Raw genomic sequence first — 21,284 nt, 5'->3', positions numbered from 1 at the left:
ATTTACTTAACTACTCGGGACCTCAGTTTTCTCAGCCATAAAATTCGTGTCAAAATACTTTCCTTGTGGAGTTTTGAACACTAGCGACAAGGCAAGAAAAATAAATATCTAGCACAGTGCCTGCCACATAATAGGCGATCAATACATGGTAGGTAGAAATTGTTATTAATGTGGTACCTGAAGAGCAAATAACGATCTCATTTTATTTGTATTCTATATGATCTTTACACAGAAATTAAAGTAATATAATGATGAGGGAATCTTAAAATATTGGAAGAATATTTTCACGGTAATATTATTACCAGGAAGAATTGTGGAAAGTTAGTTGTGCAAACTTCTAGGGCAATAAAAGGCCTATAGGTAAGAAGAAATCAGGGATAAGTCATTTAATAGCTCTCAAGAGAGTGACAATGGTAGAGAAATTATAACACAAACATTTTTACTGAGTTCTTACTGCATCCCTGACACTGAGCAAAATGCTTTTCATGCAGTGTTTCATTAAGTTTTACAATAACTTCATGAGTAGGTATTATTCCCATTTTACAAATATTGGGACTGAGTGAAGATTAGAGGGGATCAATAATTTGCCCAAGTTCCCACAGCAAGTAAATACAGGGCTGGGTTTGGCTCCTAATAACAGATATCAGAACTTGGTCTAGTTGTGAAAAGATTATGTAATGCATGAAAAGAAGGCATACACACACAATTATGAAATGTTAAATACTAATAAAATTAAATCTCAATGTACCCACGATAAGGTGTCATAAGAGAGGCCACAACTAAATGCTAAGGAATTTCATGAACAATCGACATTGAAGAAAGGGATATTACAGGAGGCTTCCTAAAAAGATGAAAGCCAAGTTGGATCCTACAAGATAGAGGCCTGGAGGTCACCATTGTTTGAGGAGAGCAGGCAGCATGTCTTAAAAAGCAGGGGAGTGGAGGGAGGAGCCAAGATGGCTGAATAGGAACAGCTCTGGTCTACAGCTCCCAGCCTGAGCGATGCAGAAGATGGGTGATTTCTGCATTTCCATCTGAGGTACCGGGTTCATCTCACTAGGGAGTGCCAGACAGTGGGTGCAGGTCAGTGGGTGCGTGCACCGTGCATGAGCCGAAGCAGGGCGAGGCATTGCCTCACTCGGGAAGCGCAAGGGGTCAGGGAGTTCCCTTTCCTAATCAAAGAAAGGGGTGATGGACGGCACCTGGAAAATCGGGTCACTCCCACCCGAATACTGCGCTTTTCCGACGGGCTTAAAAAACGGCGCACCACGAGATTATATCCCGCACCTGGCTCAGAGGGTCCTACCCCACGGAGTCTCATTGATTGCTAGCACAGCAGTCTGAGATCAAGCTGCAAGGTGGCAGCGAGGCTGGGGGAGGGGCGCCCGCCATTGCCCAGGCTTGCTTAGGTAAACAAAGCAGCCTGGAAGCTCGAACTGGGTGGAGCCCACCACAGCTCAAGGAGGCCTGCCTGCCTCTGTAGGCTCCACCTCTGGGGGCAGGGCACAGACAAACAAAAAGACAGCAGTAACCTCTGCAGACTTAAATGTCCCTGTCTGACAGCTTTGAAGAGAGCAGTGGTTCTCCCAGTACGCAGCTGGAGATCTGAGAATGGGCGGACTGCCTCCTCAAGTGGGTCCCTGACCCCTGACCCCCGAGCAGCCTAACTGGGAGGCACCCTCCAGCAGGGGCACACTGACACCTCACACTGCAGGGTACTCCAACAGACCTGCAGCTGAGGGTCCTGTGTGTTAGAAGGAAAACTAACAAACAGAAAGGACATCCACACCAAAAACCCATCTGTACATCACCATACCAAAGACCAAAAGTAGATAAAACCACAAAGATGGGGAAAAGACAGAACAGAAAAACTGGAAACTCTAAAAAGCAGAGTGCCTCTCCTCCTCCAAAGGAATGCAGCTCCTCACCAGCAACGGAACAAAGCTGGACGGAGAACGACTTTGACGAGCTGAGAGAAGAAGGCTTCAGACGATCAAATTACTCTGAGCTACGGGAGGACATTCAAACCAAAGGCAAAGAAGTTGAAAACTTTGAAAAAAATTTAGAAGAATGTATAACTAGAATAACCAATACAGAGAAGTGCTTAAAGGAGCTGATGGACCTGAAAACCAAGGCTCGAGAACTACGTGAAGAATGCAGAAGCCTCAGGAGCCGATGCGATCAACTGGAAGAAAGGGTATCAGCAATGGAAGATGAAATAAATGAAATGAAGCGAGAAGGAAAGTTTAGAGAAAAAACAATAAAAAGAAACGAGCAAAGCCTCCAGGAAATATGGGACTATGTGAAAAGACCAAATCTACGTCTGATTGGTGTACCTGAAAGTGATGGGGAGAATGGAACCAAGTTGGAAAACACTCTGCAGGATATTATCCTGGAGAATTTCCCCAATCTAGCAAGGCAGGCCAACGTTCAGATTCAGGAAATACAGAGAACGCCACAAAGATACTCCTCGAGAAGAGCAACTCCAAGACACATAATTGTCAGATTCACCAAAGTTGAAATGAAGGAAAAAATGTTAAGGGCAGCCAGAGAGAAAGGTCGGGTTACCCTCAAAGGGAAGCCCATCAGACTAACAGCGGATCTCTCGGCAGAAACCCTACAAGCCAGAAGAGAGTGGGGGCCAATATTCAACATTCTTAAAGAAAAGAATTTTCAACCCAGAATTTCATATCCAGCCAAACTAAGCTTCATAAGTGAAGGAGAAATAAAATACTTTACAGACAAGCAAATGCTGAAAGATTTTGTCACCACCAGGCCTGCCCTAAAAGAGCTCCTGAAGGAAGCGCTAAACATGGAAAGGAACAACCGGTACCAGCTGCTGCAAAATCATGCCAAAATGTAAAGCCCATCGAGACTAGGAAGAAACTGCAACTAACAAGCAAAATAACCAGCTAACATCATAATGACAGGATCAAATTCACACATAACACTATTAACTTTAAATGTAAATGGACTAAATTCTCCAATTAAAAGACACAGACTGGCAAATTGGATAAAGAGTCAAGACCCATCAGTGTGCTGTATTCAGGAAACCCATCTCACGTGCAGAGACACACATAGGCTCAAAATAAAAGGATGGAGGAAGATCTACCAAGCAAATGGAAAACAAAAAAAGGCAGGGGTTGCAATCCTAGTCTCTGATGAAACAGACTTTAAGCCAACAAAGATCAAAAGAGACAAAGAAGGCCATTACATAATGGTAAAGGCATCAATTCAACAAGAAGAGCTAACTGTCCTAAATATGTATGCACCCAATACATGAGCACCCAGATTCATAAAGCAAGTCCTGAGTGACCTACAAAGAGACTTAGACTCCCACACATTAATAGTGGGAGACTTTAACACCCCACTGTCAACATTAGACAGATCAACGAGACAGAAAGTCAACAAGGATACCGAGGAATTGAACTCAGCTCTGCACCAAGCAGACCTAATAGACATCTACAGAACTCTCCACCCCAAATCAACAGAATATACATTTTTTTCAGCACCACACCACACCTATTCCAAAATTGACCACATACTTGGAAGTAAAGCACTCCTCAGCAAATGTAAAAGAACAGAAATTATAACAAACTACCTCTCAGACCACAGTGCAATCAAATTAGAACTCAGGATTAAGAATCTCACTCAAAATCGCTCATCTACATGGAAACTGAACAACCTCCTCCTGAATGACTACTGGGTACATAACGAAATGAAGGCAGAAATAAAGATGTTCTTTGAAACCAACGAGAACAAAGACACAACATACCAGAATCTCTGGGATGCATTCAAAGCAGTGTGTAGAGGGAAATTTATAGCACTAAATGCCCACAAGAGAAAGCCGGAAAGATCTAAAATTGACACCCTAACATCACAATTAAAAGAACTAGAAAAGCAAGAGGAAACAAATTCAAAAGGTAGCAGAAGGCAAGAAATAACTAAAATCAGAGCAGAACTGAAGGAAATAGAGACACAAAATACCCTTCAAAAAATTAATGAATCCAGGAGCTGGTTTTTTGAAAGGATCAACAAAATTGATAGAGCACTAGCAAGACTAATAAAGAAAAAAAGAGAAAAGAATCAAATAGACGCAATAAAAAATGATAAAGGGGATATCACCACCGATCCCACAGAAATACAAACTACCATCAGAGAATACTATAAACACCTCTACGCAAATAAACTAAAAAATCTAGAAGAAATGGATAAATTCCTCGACACATACACTCTCCCAAGACTAAGCCAGGAAGAAGTTGAATCTCTGAATACACCAATAACAGGATCTGAAATTGTGGCAATAATCAATACCTTACCAACCAAAAAGAGTCCAGGACCAGATGGATTCACAGCCGAATTCTACCAGAGGTACAAGGAGGAACTGGTACCATTCCTTCTGAAACTATTCCAATAAATAGAAAAAGAGGGAATCCTCCCTAACTCATTTTATGAGGCCAGCATCATTCTGATACCAAAGCCCGGCAGAGACAGAACCAAAAAAGAGAATTTTAGACCCATATCCCTGATGAACATTGATGCAAAAATCCTCAATAAAATACTGGCAAACCGAATCCAGCAGCACATCAAAAAGCTTATCCACCATGGTCAAGTGGGCTTCATCCCTGGGATGCAAGGCTGGTTCAATATACGCAAATCAATAAATGTAATCCAGCATATAAACAGAGCCAAAGACAAAAACCACATGATTATATCAATAGATGCAGAAAAGGCCTTTGACAAAATTCAACAACTTTTCATGCTAAAAACTCTCAATAAATTAGGTATTGATGGGACATATTTCAAAATAATAAGAGCTATCTATGACAAACCCACAGCCAATATCATACTGAATGGGCAAAAACTGGAAGCATTCCCTTTGAAAACTGGCACAAGACAGGGATGCCCTCTCTCACCACTCCTATTCAACATAGTGTTGGAAGTTCTGGCCAGGGCAATTAGGCAGGAGAAGGAAATAAAGGGTATTCAATTAGGAAAAGAGGAAGTCCAATTGTCCCTGTTTGCAGATGACATGATTGTATATCTAGAAAACCCCATCGTCTCAGCCCAAAATCTCCTTAAGCTGATAAGCAACTTCAGCAAAGTCTCAGGATACAAAATCAATGTGCAAAAATCACAAGCATTCCTATACACCAACAACAGACAAACAGAGAGCCAAATCATGAGTGAACTCCCATTCACAATTGCTTCAAAGAGAATAAAATACCTAGGAATCCAACTTACAAGGGATGTGAAGGACCTCTTCAAGGAGAACTACAAACCGCTGCTCACGGAAATAAAAGAGGATACATACAAATGGAAGAACATTCCATGCTCATGGGTAGGAAGAATCAATATCGTGAAAATGGCCATACTGCCCAAGGTAATTTACAGATTCAATGCTATCCCCATCAAGCTACCAATGCCTTTCTTCAGAGAATTGGAAAAAACTACTTTAAAGTTCATATGGAACCAAAAAAGAGCCCGCATCGCCAAGTCAATCCTAAGCCAAAAGAACAAAGCTGGAGGCATCACACTACCTGACTTCAAACTATACTACAAGGCTACAGTAACCAAAACAGCATGGTACTGATACCAAAACAGAGATATAGATCAATGGAACAGAACAGAGCCCTCAGAAATAACGCCACCTATCTACAACTATCTGATCTTTGACAAACCTGACAAAAACAAGAAATGGGGAAAGGATTCCCTATTTAATAAATGGTGCTGGGAAAACTGGCTAGCCATATGTAGAAAGCTGAAACTGGATCCCTTCCTTACGCCTTATACAAAAATCAGTTCAAGATGGATTAAAGACTTAAAACGTTAGACCTAAAACCATAAAAACCCTAGAAGAAAACCTAGGCATTACCATTCAGGACATAGGCATGGGCAAGGACTTCATGTCTAAAACACCAAAAGCAATGACAACAAAAGACAAAACTGACAAATGGGATCTAATTAAACTAAAGAGCTTCTGCACAGCAAAAGAAACTACCATCAGAGTGAACAGGCAACCTACAAAATGGGAGAAAATTTTCACAACCTACTCATCTGACAAAGGGCTAATATCCAGAATCTACAATGAACTCAAACAAATTTACAAGAACAAAACAAACAACCCCATCAACAAGTGGGCAAAGGACATGAACAGACACTTCTCAAAAGAAGACATTTATGCAGCCAAAAAACACATGAAAAAATGCTCACCATCACTGGCCATCAGAGAAATGCAAATCAAAACCACAAGGAGATACCATCTCACACCAGTTAGAATGGCAATCATTAAAAAGTCAGGAAACGACAGGTGCTGGAGAGGATGTGGAGAAATAGGAACACTTTTACACTGTTGGTGGGACTGTCAACTAGTTCAACCATTGTGGAAGTCAGTGTGGCGATTCCTCAGGGATCTAGAACTAGAAATACCATTTGACCCAGCCATCCCATTACTGGGTATATACCCAAATGACTATAAATCATGCTGCTATAAAGATACATGCAGATGTATGTTTATTGCGGCATTATTCACAATAGCAAAGACTTGGAACCAACCCAAATGTCCAACAATGATAGACTAGATTAAGAAAATGTGGCACATATACACCATGGAATACTATGCAGCCATAAAAAATGATGAGTTCATGTCCTTTGTAGGGACATGGATGAAATTGGAAACCATCATTCTCAGTAAACTATCGCAAGAACAAAAAAACCAAACACCACATATTCTCACTCATAGGTGGGAATTGAACAGTGAGATCACATGGACACAGGAAAGGGAACATCACACACTGGGGACTGTTGTGGGGTGGGGGGAGGGGGGAGGGATAGCATTGGGAGATATACCTAATGCTAGATGACGAGTTAGTGCGTGCAGCACACCAGCATGGCACACGTATACGTATGTAACTAACCTGCACAATGTGCCCATGTACCCTAAAACTTAAAGTATAATAATAATAAAATAAATAAATAATAAAAAAAAAAGCAGGGGAGTGCAGAATCATGAACGTTGTTGAATTCTACGCTGAAAAGCTAGGACTTCATTCTGGGTATAATGTATATGATGAACCTGCTGGAGAGTTCATGCCCCATTGAACTTGATGGGGCAAAATGGCAAAATCAGGAACCTGCTGCTTGTTGTATAGCTGGAAAGCAGGTCCAGTGTTGTCAAATGTTCTGATTTGTTCAGAGAAATAAAAAAAATCCACATTACAAATTTATCTTGTTGTCAGGGAATGCAAGTATTTTTAAACATTTCTCAGGCCTTGGCCTTCAGGGGACCAGTACTGGGAGAAGGGGCAGGGCTCAGACTTAGTTTACCCATCTGCTGTAGGCAATTGTGAGTGTGACTCTGCAGCCTTTAAAGGAAGTTTCTCATTGACTTCAGTGGAGAAGCTGGGTGGGTATGAATCAGAATGAGAGCATTAGCTGATGGCAACAGAAAAACATAGACAATAATACTGAGATTTGATGCATTTTCTGTTTGCCTTCTCCCTTGAATAGTTACTGCAAAGTAAAAGGATGTAAATAATAAACCATCCTCATTCTTACAGAAACACTGGTGATCGACTGTTTGCATTGGCTTATAGGTTATCTATAACTCTGAACCCTAATTTTTTGTAGTCCTGTATGACATTAATGTAAATTAATGGAGAGGAAAACATTTACAACATAATGAATGTGTATAAAAAACCTATTATTCCAACTGCAAAAAAAATTTTGATTGTTTTATAAATGTTCTTTAGCTTATTCATTTAAAAATAATGTCTGTCTCTCCCTCCTTCCCTCCCCCTTTCTTCTTTTTATATTCTTTAGGTGGTAGTTTCTATTTGGAAAAATCACCTCTTAAAATTTACCATATAACATGTAAGTACAACTTTACAAGTTCTTGACCATATTTTTTATTTGTTCATACTTTTCATGAAGGTATTTTCATACTACCTTACATGTTAACATTTTCATTTCCAAATTGAAAGACCACTGCATTGTTTCTAGACTAACCATAAAGTAACAGCAAAGGTTAATATAGGATTATTATCTCTGGATTCTTGGATCATCCCTGGGTTTATCTAATTTTGCAGAAAGAATGATTATCTGATAACCGCTTTTAATAATATGCAAAATGTTTCTTAATTATTCCTTTCAAGAAATCCACATCAACCTTACTTCAATTTCTCTTTCCTTTGGAAGCTTTTCTTTGAGTGATTGAATGCATTTATATGTAATTTACTCATAAAATTATAACAGGGCTAGGTAGAAAACAATGATTATAATGTAATATAATAAATTTTCTTTACCATTGGAGTAAAATATCTAAATAGAAAGTTAACCTTAGAACACAGTGTAAAAGACTAGAAAATATTAGAGAAAGTACAAGAAATATTGAAGATAGTGGAAATCCTAAAAGCTCAGTAATACTAAAATGAGGCCATGGATAGATTTCAAGGAGCCTTTGGATAGAAAAAAGAAATTACATGTTTTAAAATATACTCTAACTAAAATTTAATAACTCCCCCAAATATGGATGTAGGCAAAAATCACAGTAGTATTAGCAGTACATGTCACTTTGCTATCAGCAAAAATTACAGGTATTTTCATGATAGTATTATTGCTGCAAGTATCTCAAAATACAATCTGTGCTCATCAGTAGTGCAGAATTAACATATCTATCAAATACGTTGCTAGATTTTGTTATTGATGCATTCATAATTGTATTCCTATATTATACTTTTTAATATTTAGATAACTGCATTTTAATAAAATTGGTTTCCTTTGTAATCCTGTGCATCTAATTTTATACAATTTTAAATATAGTTATATAGGCTGTGCTCAGTGTCTCGAGCAGTCTGTGGCACAAAGAATGCTGGGTAGAAGTTTCAGAGGCAGAGAACAGAGGGAATAAAGAGAAATGATAGACAGAAAGAAACTTCATAGAGGAGAAGAGATCTAAGTCTTTAGATTAAATGAATTCAGTCAACATCAGTGTCTGAAAGTGATTAGCTCTCTTGGGAGGAGATTGGGGCTGTGTGGAGGATGTATAATTTATTCTAATTACTTTCACTTTATTTGAATTTTTTAACAACCTGAATGTATTCTTCCATGAATTTTTTAAAAGGGTACATATGTATGAGGTTAAAAAAGAGAGAAGAAAGAGAAGGTAATACTTTGGTATTACTGAAGCAACTGCCCATGCTAGGGAAGATCAGCATCTGAGCATTCCAGATCATCAACAGCCTTTGTGTCCTGATCTTACAAGTTTCAATTCAGCAACAGGTCCAGTGGAACAGAAGGTTTTGCATCCAGACCATCATCCTAGGATTGAACCCTAGCTCCATCATGAACTGGCTCAGTAGTCTTGAGTAAATCATCTAAGCTTTCTGACATTCAGTTTCTTCATTTATAAAATTAGGGTAATATCTATCTTACCAGACTGATATCAGATGAGAGCTAATGCAAATATATGTATGTCAAGTGTCTAGAATAGTGTTTCACATATAATAGGCACAAAAATGGCAATCACCATTATTATTGATCTTAGGCTGAAAGCTAGGGCAAGCTATTTAAGGATTTATAAAACTACTTAATGGCAGAGGGGTACTCATTTGAATGGAGTCAAGAATCTAGGGATAGAGACAGATTAGGTCTTACTGTAATGTAGGTGAGCAGAAGAATTGGAGATAAGGTGAAGGATATGAGAAAAGTTTAGGAGACAGGTATCTCCAGATTTGGTGGCCAGATAAGTCCTGAGTATGAGGGAAACATCTGGTGACCCCAGATGTCTGAACTGGTTGAATGATACGGGTGGTGGTACATCTGCAGAAATGCCAGGTTTTGGGCAAAGGATGATATGATTAGTTTGGAATATGTGGAAATTAAGATCTCTAGGATCACTCAAGTAGTTTAAGTAGTCAAGCATAAAATGTGCTTGGATATAGAGGTCAGACACTCAGGAGTAGAATCTCTGCTGGAGCCATAGGTTTGGCTGTCATCAATTTAACAGATATTAACAAACTCATGGGTTTATGTAAAATCACCACAGGAAAGTGCAAAACATGAGAATGAAGGGCTCGGGATAAAGTTCTAGCACACATGAACAATTTAAGCAAGAGCATCTTTTATTTATTTATTCAGTAACTAAAGGTGGATATGCCATGTACAAGAGAGTCTTCAAAAAGTTCATAGAAAATGTGTGTTATGAAAAAACTATGCATAGATTTCATTTTTTTTGTACCAAAATAACTTGTATTAACTTGTTATAACATGTCTGGGCAGGATCTAGTTTGAAGCATGAAGAAGGATAAGATACCAGTTTGAAAGGTGCCCCTATTAGCAACATGAACTCCCCTAAAATTGAGGCAAGAGCAAACATCAAATTTATGGAGAAGCTGGGGTGGAAGAATAATGAAATGATTAATGCTTTGCACAAATTTTATGAGGACAATGCCCCACAAGAAAGCAGTTTACAAATGGACCTCATTTTAAGAAGGGTTGAGACCATGTTGTGGGATGAAGCCCTCAGCAGCAGACCATCCACATCACTTTGTGGGAAAAAAAGTTAATCTTGTTGATGCCCTAATTGAAAAAGACCAGTGAAACAACAGTCAACACCATAGACATCTTAATTGACTCAGCGTACACAATTCTAACTGCAAAATTAAAGTTGAGCAAACTTTCCACTTGCTGGGTGCCAAAATCATTGTGCCCAGATCACTCACAGACAAAAACGGAGCTTTCAATGAAAATATTAAACAAATGAGATCAAGATCCTGAGGGATTTCTTTGAAGAATCGTAACAGGAGGTGAAACACAGGTTTGCCAGTATGATCCTGAAAATAAACTCAATCAAAGAAATTGCTACTAAGAGGTGAACTTGGTCTAGGCAAAGCAAAAGTGGACTGGTAATAGCAAAGGCCAAGGTAACAGTTTTTTGGGATGCTCAAGGTATTTTGCTTGTTGACTTTCTGGAGGGCCAAAGAATGATAACCTCTGCTTATTATGAAAGTGTTTTGAGAAAGTTAGCCAAAGTTCTAGCAGAAAAACATCCAGGAAAGCTTCACCAGAGAGTCCTTCTCCACCACGACAATGCTCCTACTCATTCCTCTCATCAATCAAGGGCAATTTTATGAGACATTTGATGGGAAATCATTAGGCATCCACTTTATAGTCCTGATTTAGCTCCTTTTGACTGATTTTTGTTTCCTAATCTTAAAAAAATCTGTAAAGGATACCCATTTTCTTCAGTTAATTATGCAGAAAAGACAGCATAAACATAGTTAAATTCCCAGGACCCTCAGTTCTTTAGGAATGGAGCAAATGGATGGTATCATCATTTACAAAAATGTCTTGAACTTGATGGAGCTTATATTAAGAGCTTATGTTAAATTCCATTTCTAATGAATTTTTTGAAATCCCCAATATATTCTTTGACTCATACTTTTATTGTATCCTCTTACAAAAAGAGAATAAATTTAAGACTAGAACACAATAGTTCAATCAATAAGAGAAAGGAAGTATCCCTCATGTCAAAAAACAACATTTTCAACCATTGAGGGATAGTATAATAAAGAAAGGAAGAAAATTTTTTTCAAAAGCTCTACTTAAATGTTTATCAAAAAGAATTGTTAATGTATTTACTGATTCTGTCAACATCCTCAAATACTTATCCTATTTAAGGACCAGTATTCAAAATGTTCATATTATTTTTTCCCAGTTTTATTTATTAACCAATATAGTGACAATATTGCTTTCTAGTTTGTTTGTTGGCTTATGTTTACTTTCAAAGTTATGTTATAAGAGAGCCTTTAGAGGGATAGCCCTTCTATTTAAAATATTTTTCAAGAAATATGTTTTTTCCCAAGGTAAATTCATTTAGTAAGTCAAGGAACTTCTAGATATATTTTACTCAGAAACAGTTGTGTCTTTATGAAACTGTTTTTATTTCATTTGTGATCTAAGACCGGAACCCTAAAATTCTTTCCAATTTAATAGAGGTCATTTTTCAATGACTCTAGAGAAATGTTTCAGCATTTTCCATCTGCTTCCTGTGGTTCCCAAATCCAATAGGACTGTTTAGTGATGTCTTGTTCATTGGTTTGTTTTCTCTTTTTTCACTACTCTTCAAACTTTTGAAGTTCTAGTTGTTGTTGTGCTATTGTTGTAGTTTGTTTGCAAAAAGCTTGAAGGCTATGTATTAGTTGTCAATTGCTAGTGTATAAGCTTGGAGGTGAATTCAAAAGTGAGAACTGAAGGAGAATGGATGTGTCTGAGGAACGGCCTTGGACAGAATGGACCCTAAGATGAGAATACTGGAAAATTGGAAGAGAGAGAAATTTTGTTATATCTGATTCTGACCCCTGCCACTTCCTAGGTATATAATGCTGGTCAAGTTACTGAGCCTTTTTGAACTTCAGTTTTTTATGTGTACTATAATAATATAACTACTTGCCAGGATTGTTATGGGGATTGGATGTTTGTAAAGTATCCAGCACTATGCCAAGAATATAGCAAAAAACATTCAATGAGAATCATTGTTATCTTTCTTCCTCTCATTATCATTTAGCATTGAGAAAATTCCCAAGAACTGGATCAATATTAATAATAACAGAAAAAAACGTCCACAGCACCGAAGAAGAAAGCAGCTAATGATTTGCTGTTATTTATTTTTTAAGCAAAGAGAAGTGTAACACAAACTAGAAAGTTAATTATAAAGAATAATTCCTTCATACATAATTATACCTGTAGCGAGTTAAATAGTGCCCCCCTCGAAATTCATGTCCATCTTGAACCTCAGAATGTGACCTTGTTTGGAAATAGGTTTTTGAAGACATAACTAAGGATCTGGATGAAGATTAGGATGATTCTAACTTTAATGAAAGTATATTTGTGAGAGACCGAAAAGGACACATGGAGACGTAGAGACGACCATGATGTAAAGATGGAGGCAGAGATGGGAGTGATGCTCCCACAAGCCAAGGAATGCCTGGAGCCACCAGAAGATGGAAGAGGCAGGACAGGATGGATGCTTTCTTAGAGACTTCAGAGAGAGTGTGGCCCTGCCAACACCTTGATTTCGAATTTCTAGCCTCCAGAACTTTGAGAGAAATTTCTGTTATTTTGAGCCAGGAAGCTTGTGGTGACTTGTTATGGCAGCCCTAGGAAATTAATACAATGTCATACAAAATCGTTTCTATTGAAGGGGCTTTGTTCTCTCACCCTTTAAAGAACCTAAGGAATTATTTATTTCCCCAATCTAAATATAATCTCACAATTCCGTTTCTTTTTTCTCCTTATTTTATTATTAAAAAAAACACAAATACATAACAAGTAAGGTCTCCATTATTAAACTGGAATATGAGAGAGATAAATACATTTTGTAAGTGTCAGAAATTATATTTATTTTAGGCAAATGTCTGAGATGATCGCTACTTCTCATTCTATTTCTGATAAACCTGAAGAAACTGTAAAACTAAAGCAACGTCTAGTGAGAAACAAGTTAAAATAATTCTTTTAAGTTAAGAGGGCAGTGTGGTGGGCAGAATAATGCTTTATCCCACTCCAATATGTCTACCTTCCAATCCCTAAAATCTGTCCATATGATACCATAGATGACAAAAGAGACTTTGCAAATATGATTAGGGTGAGAATTTTCAGATGGGGAGATTATCTGGGATGATCCAGTTGGGCCTAATCTTAAAGGACAAGGGTCCTTTTAAGAGACAGTCAGGAGGGTCAGAGACAGAGGGAGATTGGATGATACGATGCTGTTGGCTTTGAAAATGGAGGAAAAGGCTTTGAGTTCAGAAATGTAGGTGACTTGTAGGAGCTGAAAAAGACAAGGGAATGGGCTCTCTCCTAAAACCTCCAGGAAGAAAACAGACCTGCTGACACCTTAATTTTAGCCAGTAAGATCCATTTTGAACATGTGACCCAGAGAAGTATAAAATAGCAAATTTGTGTTGTTTTAAGCCATGTTTGTAATAATTTGTTACAGGAGCAACAGGAAATCAATACATGGAGCACAAAATATGCAGAGACTTTCTATAAAATATAAGGAAAAATTTCAACCACAAAATCTTATGTTTTTAAGAGTTGACATTTCTATCTTCAATGATAATGAACAAAAGAGAACATGGCATCTCTTTAAAAACAGGAGTTCCTGAGGATCCAAAGTACTGCTCAGTCTAATTTGCAAACTGAGTGTCACATCACATAAAATTATTCAATAATGCAGGATTGATAGAGAAAGAGTTCTCCATCAGGATAGAGATATCCTGATAGAGATATGCAGGATATTTCAGTGAAAGAGTTCTGAGTTAATTAGCAGACATAGAATTTAGCCCTGACTATCTCTAGCAGGTTGTAGGTTTAGGGTAAGTTACTTAATTTCCTTGGATATCAATTTTCTCATCTGTACATGAGTAGGTTCGGCATTTGGTCCTTTCTAGTTTAAACAAGCTATAAGACAGAAACAAAAACAAAAACAGTTCAGAGCAGCCCTCTTAACTCTGTGACTCTTGGCTTCCCTAACATTATCAATTTAAAATATTTTATATTTCCAGATTTACTATAACATATTTACGGATATAAATGCTGTGTAGTTTAGGGATTAATTGATGAACATGGAGGCCCTGGATATACCTTGAGTTCTGTTTTATTCTACAAATAACTCTTTCTACTTTTTTCACTTTGATTTTTGGATAATTAACCATTTATAATAAGCCCCATTTCAGTGAGACTTATGAATAAGAAAATATTCTCCTTTCACCTCTATCACTCAGGAAATTCCAAAAATCTAAACTAACACAAGAAGAGAAAACCAAACAATGCATGTTCTTGCTCATAAGCGGGAGTTGAACAATGAGAACACATGGACACAGGGAGGGGAACACTACACACGGGGGGCTGTTGGGGGGTGGGGGACTAGGGGAGGGATAGCATGAGGAGAAATACCTAATGCAGATGATGGGTTGATGGGTGCAGCAAACCACCATGGCACGTGTATACCTATATAACAAACCCGCATGTTCTGCACATGTATCCCAGAACTTACATTAAATATATAATATATATAAAATGACAATTTGCAAATACTGTAATCTGCACATGTATCCCAGAAGTTAAATTGTATATATATATATAATGACAATTTGCAAATGCTATACATCAGGTTATTGTTATTTTGTGGTATGGGGGTTACTGGGGGGGGTTGTTTTGAGAACTGGATATTAAACGCTTACCAATACCAAAAAAAAGAAAAAAAAAATGCTCTTTGCCAGGGACTGGGGAAGAGGATCTCACTTTCCACTTTCCTCAGTGACAGTTTTCTGACAATTAACCATGTAATGCTTTGCAGAGTGTTTCAAAAATATGCCAAGGGAAGTGGTGATGCTCATTTAGAATATGGCATCATGACATACGAAACAAAAAACTGCCTAAAACATTCATGCCTGGTGCAACAAAACAGTTATCAAGTCTCTAGATGACAAAACAGTCAACTTTCATAGCTATCTTGTAAGTTTTATTCCATACTGCAGTCAATTATGGATACATGTGGCTGAACTACAAGCCTGAAAACACAGGAGTTCTTTCTCGAAATATTCAGAAAGAAACAATTTTTGTGCGTCAGTGGGTGCTATTGCATCAACACATCAGTATCTCTCCCCACTTGCCTACTTTTATGGTAGGAAACGGGGAAGAATAAGATAATAGTTCATCTGTCACAGTTTAACAAAAGCTTCCTATCACCTTCTCCATGTTCAACTGATCTGTTGATATGGCTGCATAATGTCTCATTCTAGAAGTTCTAGAGACTGTGCAGAGCAAATGCTGGCAGCACTTCACTGAAAAATCTCACCCCTACACACCAAAGAAGAAATGTTTTCATCAATATTCACTGAAGTCACTGGCACTCATTCTTTTTTATATTAATTGTACATCTGTTATGTGCCTTCTACAAAAATGAAAAGGCAGAATACAGATGAAATATCAGAGATGTAAACTCAGTCCATTCTTCAAAATAATTTTTGGAGAGCCTTAATAACAAAGAACATAGATCAGAGCATTGGAGATGATCCGAATGACAGATGCATGCACATCTTCTCTGCCAGTCAGTCTTATTTTCCTCCTGATCACTCAGTCTTTGGTTGGATAAAGAAGTGACAGGGATAAAGAAAACGAAAGCAAGAGGGAGTTGGAAAGCCTGAGAGGAATGTTAAGCAAACCTTAGACATGTGGACTCTCTTTAGGGCCAGATGTAGGCTAAGGGAGATTGGTGTGGGCAAGCGTTGCCTCAATGCATCCTAAACAAATGCAGGCTCACTGAGAAGCCCCTAGAGCTCAAGGTCAGTGTCCCTCAGTTGTCTGGCAAAATTAACATACTTTAATTGCAATCAGTCAAGACCACTGTCTCTTTCAACACCAACTACCCCTCTATCATACTTCCCATTGGTCAGGTGGCGATGGAATAGCCTTAAGTATTTTTTTTGCATGAGGGTAAGAGGAATTTCACTTGGGTATATTTTAAATAAGTTTAGGAAGGAAAACTTTAGGTGATTTGGGGTCATTTCCCTATATGGTTAATTGTGTGGAAATGACCGCAGATCACCTAAAGTTTTGCAGTTACCAGCTGTCAGGACTGGAATATTCCTATCACCTATTGGGCTGTCAATATTGAGCTTCCCGACAAAAGGTACCAGAGTTGGATTTTGTACTGTGATATGAACGTGTCCTCTGGTGCTTGACACTGGAACTGTGTGGGTAGTGGAGGAGAAAAACGGTTTGGAATGTTCAGAGCCAAAAGCTAGTCTGTGAAATATTCTTCCAAATCTGACAGTTCACATACAAAATAAACTTGATAGAGGATTTCCTAAATTTTGCAACAATTCTAAAAATGTACATGTCATAACCAATAATGAGCTGTGAAGCTGAAAGAAGTTATTTCAGACTGTCAAGAATAAAAAAAAAATTGATTTGGATCACTATGCTAGTGGAAAGACATTTTCTAATTGCTCTCCAGAAATGCTCCTACGAAGTCCTTCATAAAGAGGAAATCAATGAGTATACAGATATAAAATTATAGGAAAAACTATTATGGAAGAATGTCTGACAGTTAATGAAAGCAAGGCAGCCGGGTGCGGTGGCTCACGCCTGTAATCCCAGCACTCTGGGAGGCCGAGGCGGGCAGATCACGAGGTCAGGAGATCGAGACCAACCTGACTAACATGGTGAAACCCTGTCTCTACTAAAAATACAAAAAATTAGCTGGGCGTGGTGGCGGACGCCTGTAGTCCCAGCTACTTGGGAGGCTGAGGCAGGAGAATGGCGTGAACCTGGGAGGCGGAGCTTGCAGTGACCCAAGATCGAGCCACTGCACTCCAGCCTGGGCTACAGAGTGAGACTCCAACTCAAAAAAAAAAAAAAAAAAAAAAAATACAAAAAACAAGACAAGGTTCTTTTTCTGGAGTTTGTGATACCTATATATCAGCTTTCCGAGCTTTGTAATGTGATGTGATTGCTTTTCTCATCCTAAGTAAATATTCATTTTTGTATCTAATTTTGAATTTGTAAATTTGTATTCTTTTCAAAAAACAGTATTTCCATCCCCAACCCCTCCCCACTTTTAACAGTATAATCTTTAGAACCCACAGAACCTGGATCTGTGTCTATGATAAGGCTATCAAAATTGCTCAGTGGGCTAAAAATATCATAACCATCTCTCAAAATACCTATTTTTCTCCTCAGGAAACCGTTTCTAAAAGATATACATCTGATGAATTGGGAATGCTCTCTAAGTGGATGTAAGCGCAATCCCGTGCAGACAAGAGAAGCCTTCTCCTGAATGTTGATGGGAGGGTGGAATAGCACTGTTAGTGTTGCTATGGTAGCTAAGATGAAACCACGGAAGAGCAGATAAAACTTTAGGTGTAGCAGCACTTTGCTGTGAAAGAAGTTCTCAACAGTGGCCACCCTCAAATGAAACCTGCTGCACACACATCCAGAGAGCAATTATGAGAAAAATGCCATCTCCTTGCAAATCTTACTCTGCCTCTGTAATTTTCTTGGCACAAACACGCCTCTTCTAAATAATTGTGCCCATTTTATTGTTATTACCCATCACATTTTCTTTTTAAAGTCAAAACAGAAAACAATATGACCTGAGTTAAGTAGATATTAAATGCAAATTTGCTTCCTAATAATATTAGGCCTTTTCCAGAAAGCTGACAAAACTACTTGCACGCTTTATAAAGCACAGAACACTTCAGGCCTGTGCCATTTCACTTTGTAAAGGGGAGTACAGAAGACTTGAGGGAAACATTTGGTTCATGTTCACTTTCAGCTCCATGAAGGCAAGGACTAGTTTTATCCCTACCATTTTGTTCCCAGTAACTCCTGTGGTCTGGCACATAGCATTTGTTCCATGAATAAATATGCACCAAAATATGTAATCTTTTCCTCCAAAAAATTGGCAAACATTTACTGATAGAATTTCAAACAGAATTTAATACATGCATGACAATGTATTTTCAATACTCTTTCTTCATATCCTAAATCTTGACTGAATTTGGGGAAAATTATCATCTTGTTTCTTCTTTTGTTTACTTACACTTTCCCTTTTATTTTTTATATTTTTGAATTAGAAGGGTCCTTCAATCACTGTGGTTTTTTAGTGGCTGCCTTTGCATTTAAAAGTGTTTTCTCTTCTATAAATGTTTCCATGACAACTCCCTGATGCCCACCCCCTCCTCTTACAAAGCACAGACATTTATTAGGAAATCCATAATTGTACTTTGACCTTATTCCTTCATATTTCTGTCTGCCACACTGGGCTTTAAGATATTTGAGGGCTTTGTATGACGCTTGAGTGTAAACACTTAATACATGCTTAATTAAGGAAGAAATGGCAGACTCTTTGTCTATATTAAACCAAATGGGTAAAAAAACACACATTTTTGGGGAAAGGCAGATGATTTTTTGATTTGTATAATTTTCCTGTTATATTAAAAACATGGACCTAGGCAATTTGAATATACTTCTAAACTATTTTTCCTGGATCAATGAGAAAACAGAAACAATATTTGTTCAAGCATTTTTCTTTTTCATCCTTCCATTTCCAGGAAAACTGTGTCCTCTTTCTTTTCTTCACCCTTTTTTACCTGATCTCCTGCCCCTCCCAACCAATATGAATCACCTGAATATACTCTGAACACTAAAACACATATGTACTTTTATGTTCCTTTTCTTCTGGAAAGCATATCTCTTTAAAGAAAATTCTTGGATCAAGAGAAAAAAAATAAAAGGAAATGCACACGTATCGAAGAACCAGCAACACAGACTCACTAAAACGTCAAAAAAGTGTTGTGAACTACATATGGGCAATATGTACTTCATGTGGGCAATATTCTCTATATTTGAAAAATATATAGATAATTTAATAGCTTCTAATGCAAAAAAGCAAAGTGATACTTATCAGGTTTTTAAATATCTATGAAGTTATTGTTAAAATGACCAAAAGTTAATTAAAATAGTGTTTGCAAAATAAATATATTGACTATTTCAACTTCTACTTGTCCTGACCCCCAAAAAGTAGCATTTTGTGGTCTAATCCCTTCAATCTCTTCCCAAAGCAAAGCTATTTTGTCAGCGGATTTTGTTTTTGGATGTGAAGAGGAGAGTAGTGGAGTCAATCAGAGGGTACAACTGTTGCTGCCCATAAGGCAGTAAAATTCACTGGGTGGAAAAGAGAGAATGTGAGTAGAAAATTGATTGCTATTGATGCTGCCAGAAACATTCCTTGCTCAAAAGGAGGTCTTAAATTCTAAAGGGTAGCATAGTGGCAGGGATAACTTGACTATCATTGAGTGCCTATATCCACTTTAACATTTTCACATGTAAGCAATACCAAAATATCCTTATATCATAGGATGTTACAGGTAAGTGAATTCTATATAGAAGTTTCAATAAATATCACAAGCTTCTCAATTAAAATATCTTAGCATAACTATTTTAAAATGTATTTAACTCAGATTACCAAATAAGACTGCCCAAACTCAAAAAGGTTAGGAATACAACCAGAATAGTTTCCTCCTTTTAGAATTAAAAACACCAATGCCCAAAAATATCAAGGCCTTCACTAACTTGTGAGAATGCAGTGCTAAAATATAGAATTTATTTTATATATAAATACTCCAAATTTTGAGGCTGTAAAATATTTCTGTGTGAATTACTCAAGAAATCTATTCCTTTATGAAGTATTAAACTGGGGCCCATGGATGAGAGATCAGATACAAATTAAACAAGTACATCAGGCTATCTTTATATCAGTAAAATATAACACTAACATTTAAAATTTATTCTGGACCTGCACTATTCTTTTCTCATATTATTAACTAATTTAATTTTTATAACAATCATGTGAAGGAAGAAACCATTATTATCCTCATTTTGCAAATGGGAAAACTGAGGCTCAAAGAGGTCAAATACTTGCTCAGGGCCACAATGGCTGTTAAGTGGCAGATATGGGAAGGATTCGGCTTCTACAAAACCATCAAAGCCTACATATTCCAATATATCATTAAATATTAGCTTTGATGTTAGAATCAAGGTAACATGATGTTAGAACAGAGTCCTTGCCACTAGAAAATTTATCATCTTGAAACAAGGAGTACACACGTGAACCAATGAAGAAGACTATGGAGGCAAAACAAATGCCAAAATATGTGGTATAGCAAAGTAATAGAAATGAAATGGGAATGTCAATTACTGCTTACATTTGTGTGTAGACTGTTACATTGGTGGCCCCAAATGAACTACACCTCCTGGGATCCATGTGACTGTGTTGTCACCTCACACATTGGCTGTGGGATAAGTCCTGTGATTTGCTCTGGCCAATAAAACATTAACAAGCATAATACAAGGTAAGACTTGAGTTTCTCTTGGAATAGGCTCTCCTAAGATCCCTGAACCACTATGTAAAATGTTCTGGCTATGCTGCCAGAGAAAACATATGGTAATAGAGATGCCCAGCTAGAATCAGTTATTCTAGCCAGGTCAGTTAAGGCACCAGACGAGTGAGTGAAGAAGCCATCCTTGGACACCATTTTGAGCAGAAGAGCTACCCAGCTGATCCTAGACTTTATAGAGTTGAGAAATAACCCTTATTGTGTTAGCTCACCAACTTTTTGTGATTTATTACACAGCCACAGATAACTGAGACAACTTATAAAGCACTATAAAGTTTTTGAATATCTTTTATTCGTTATCTTACTTAATATTTGATATGG

At 37.7% G+C, this 21,284-nt stretch overlaps 1 protein-coding gene across 17 annotated transcripts in view, besides 1 other annotated feature; it reads right to left on the bottom strand.

The window, feature by feature from the left end:
- Positions 1-21,284, bottom strand: part of GRID2 (glutamate ionotropic receptor delta type subunit 2) — a 1,506,491-nt gene that overhangs the window by 214,435 nt on the left and 1,270,772 nt on the right. The window lies entirely within an intron of this gene.
- Positions 9,561-10,760: an enhancer, noted in NCBI's record as "BRD4-independent group 4 enhancer chr4:94506413-94507612 (GRCh37/hg19 assembly coordinates)". NCBI's record gives its function as "activates an origin of replication core promoter dependent on BRD2, P300/CBP, MED14 and CDK7 cofactors, and independent of BRD4, by STARR-seq in HCT116 cells {active_cell/tissue: HCT116}" and the evidence as "EXISTENCE:reporter gene assay evidence [ECO:0000049][PMID:35650434]".

Source organism: Homo sapiens, chromosome 4 (assembly GCF_000001405.40).
Source record: "Homo sapiens chromosome 4, GRCh38.p14 Primary Assembly".
NCBI lineage: Eukaryota > Metazoa > Chordata > Mammalia > Primates > Hominidae > Homo > Homo sapiens.
This window is presented reverse-complemented; position numbering and strand designations above follow the sequence as displayed.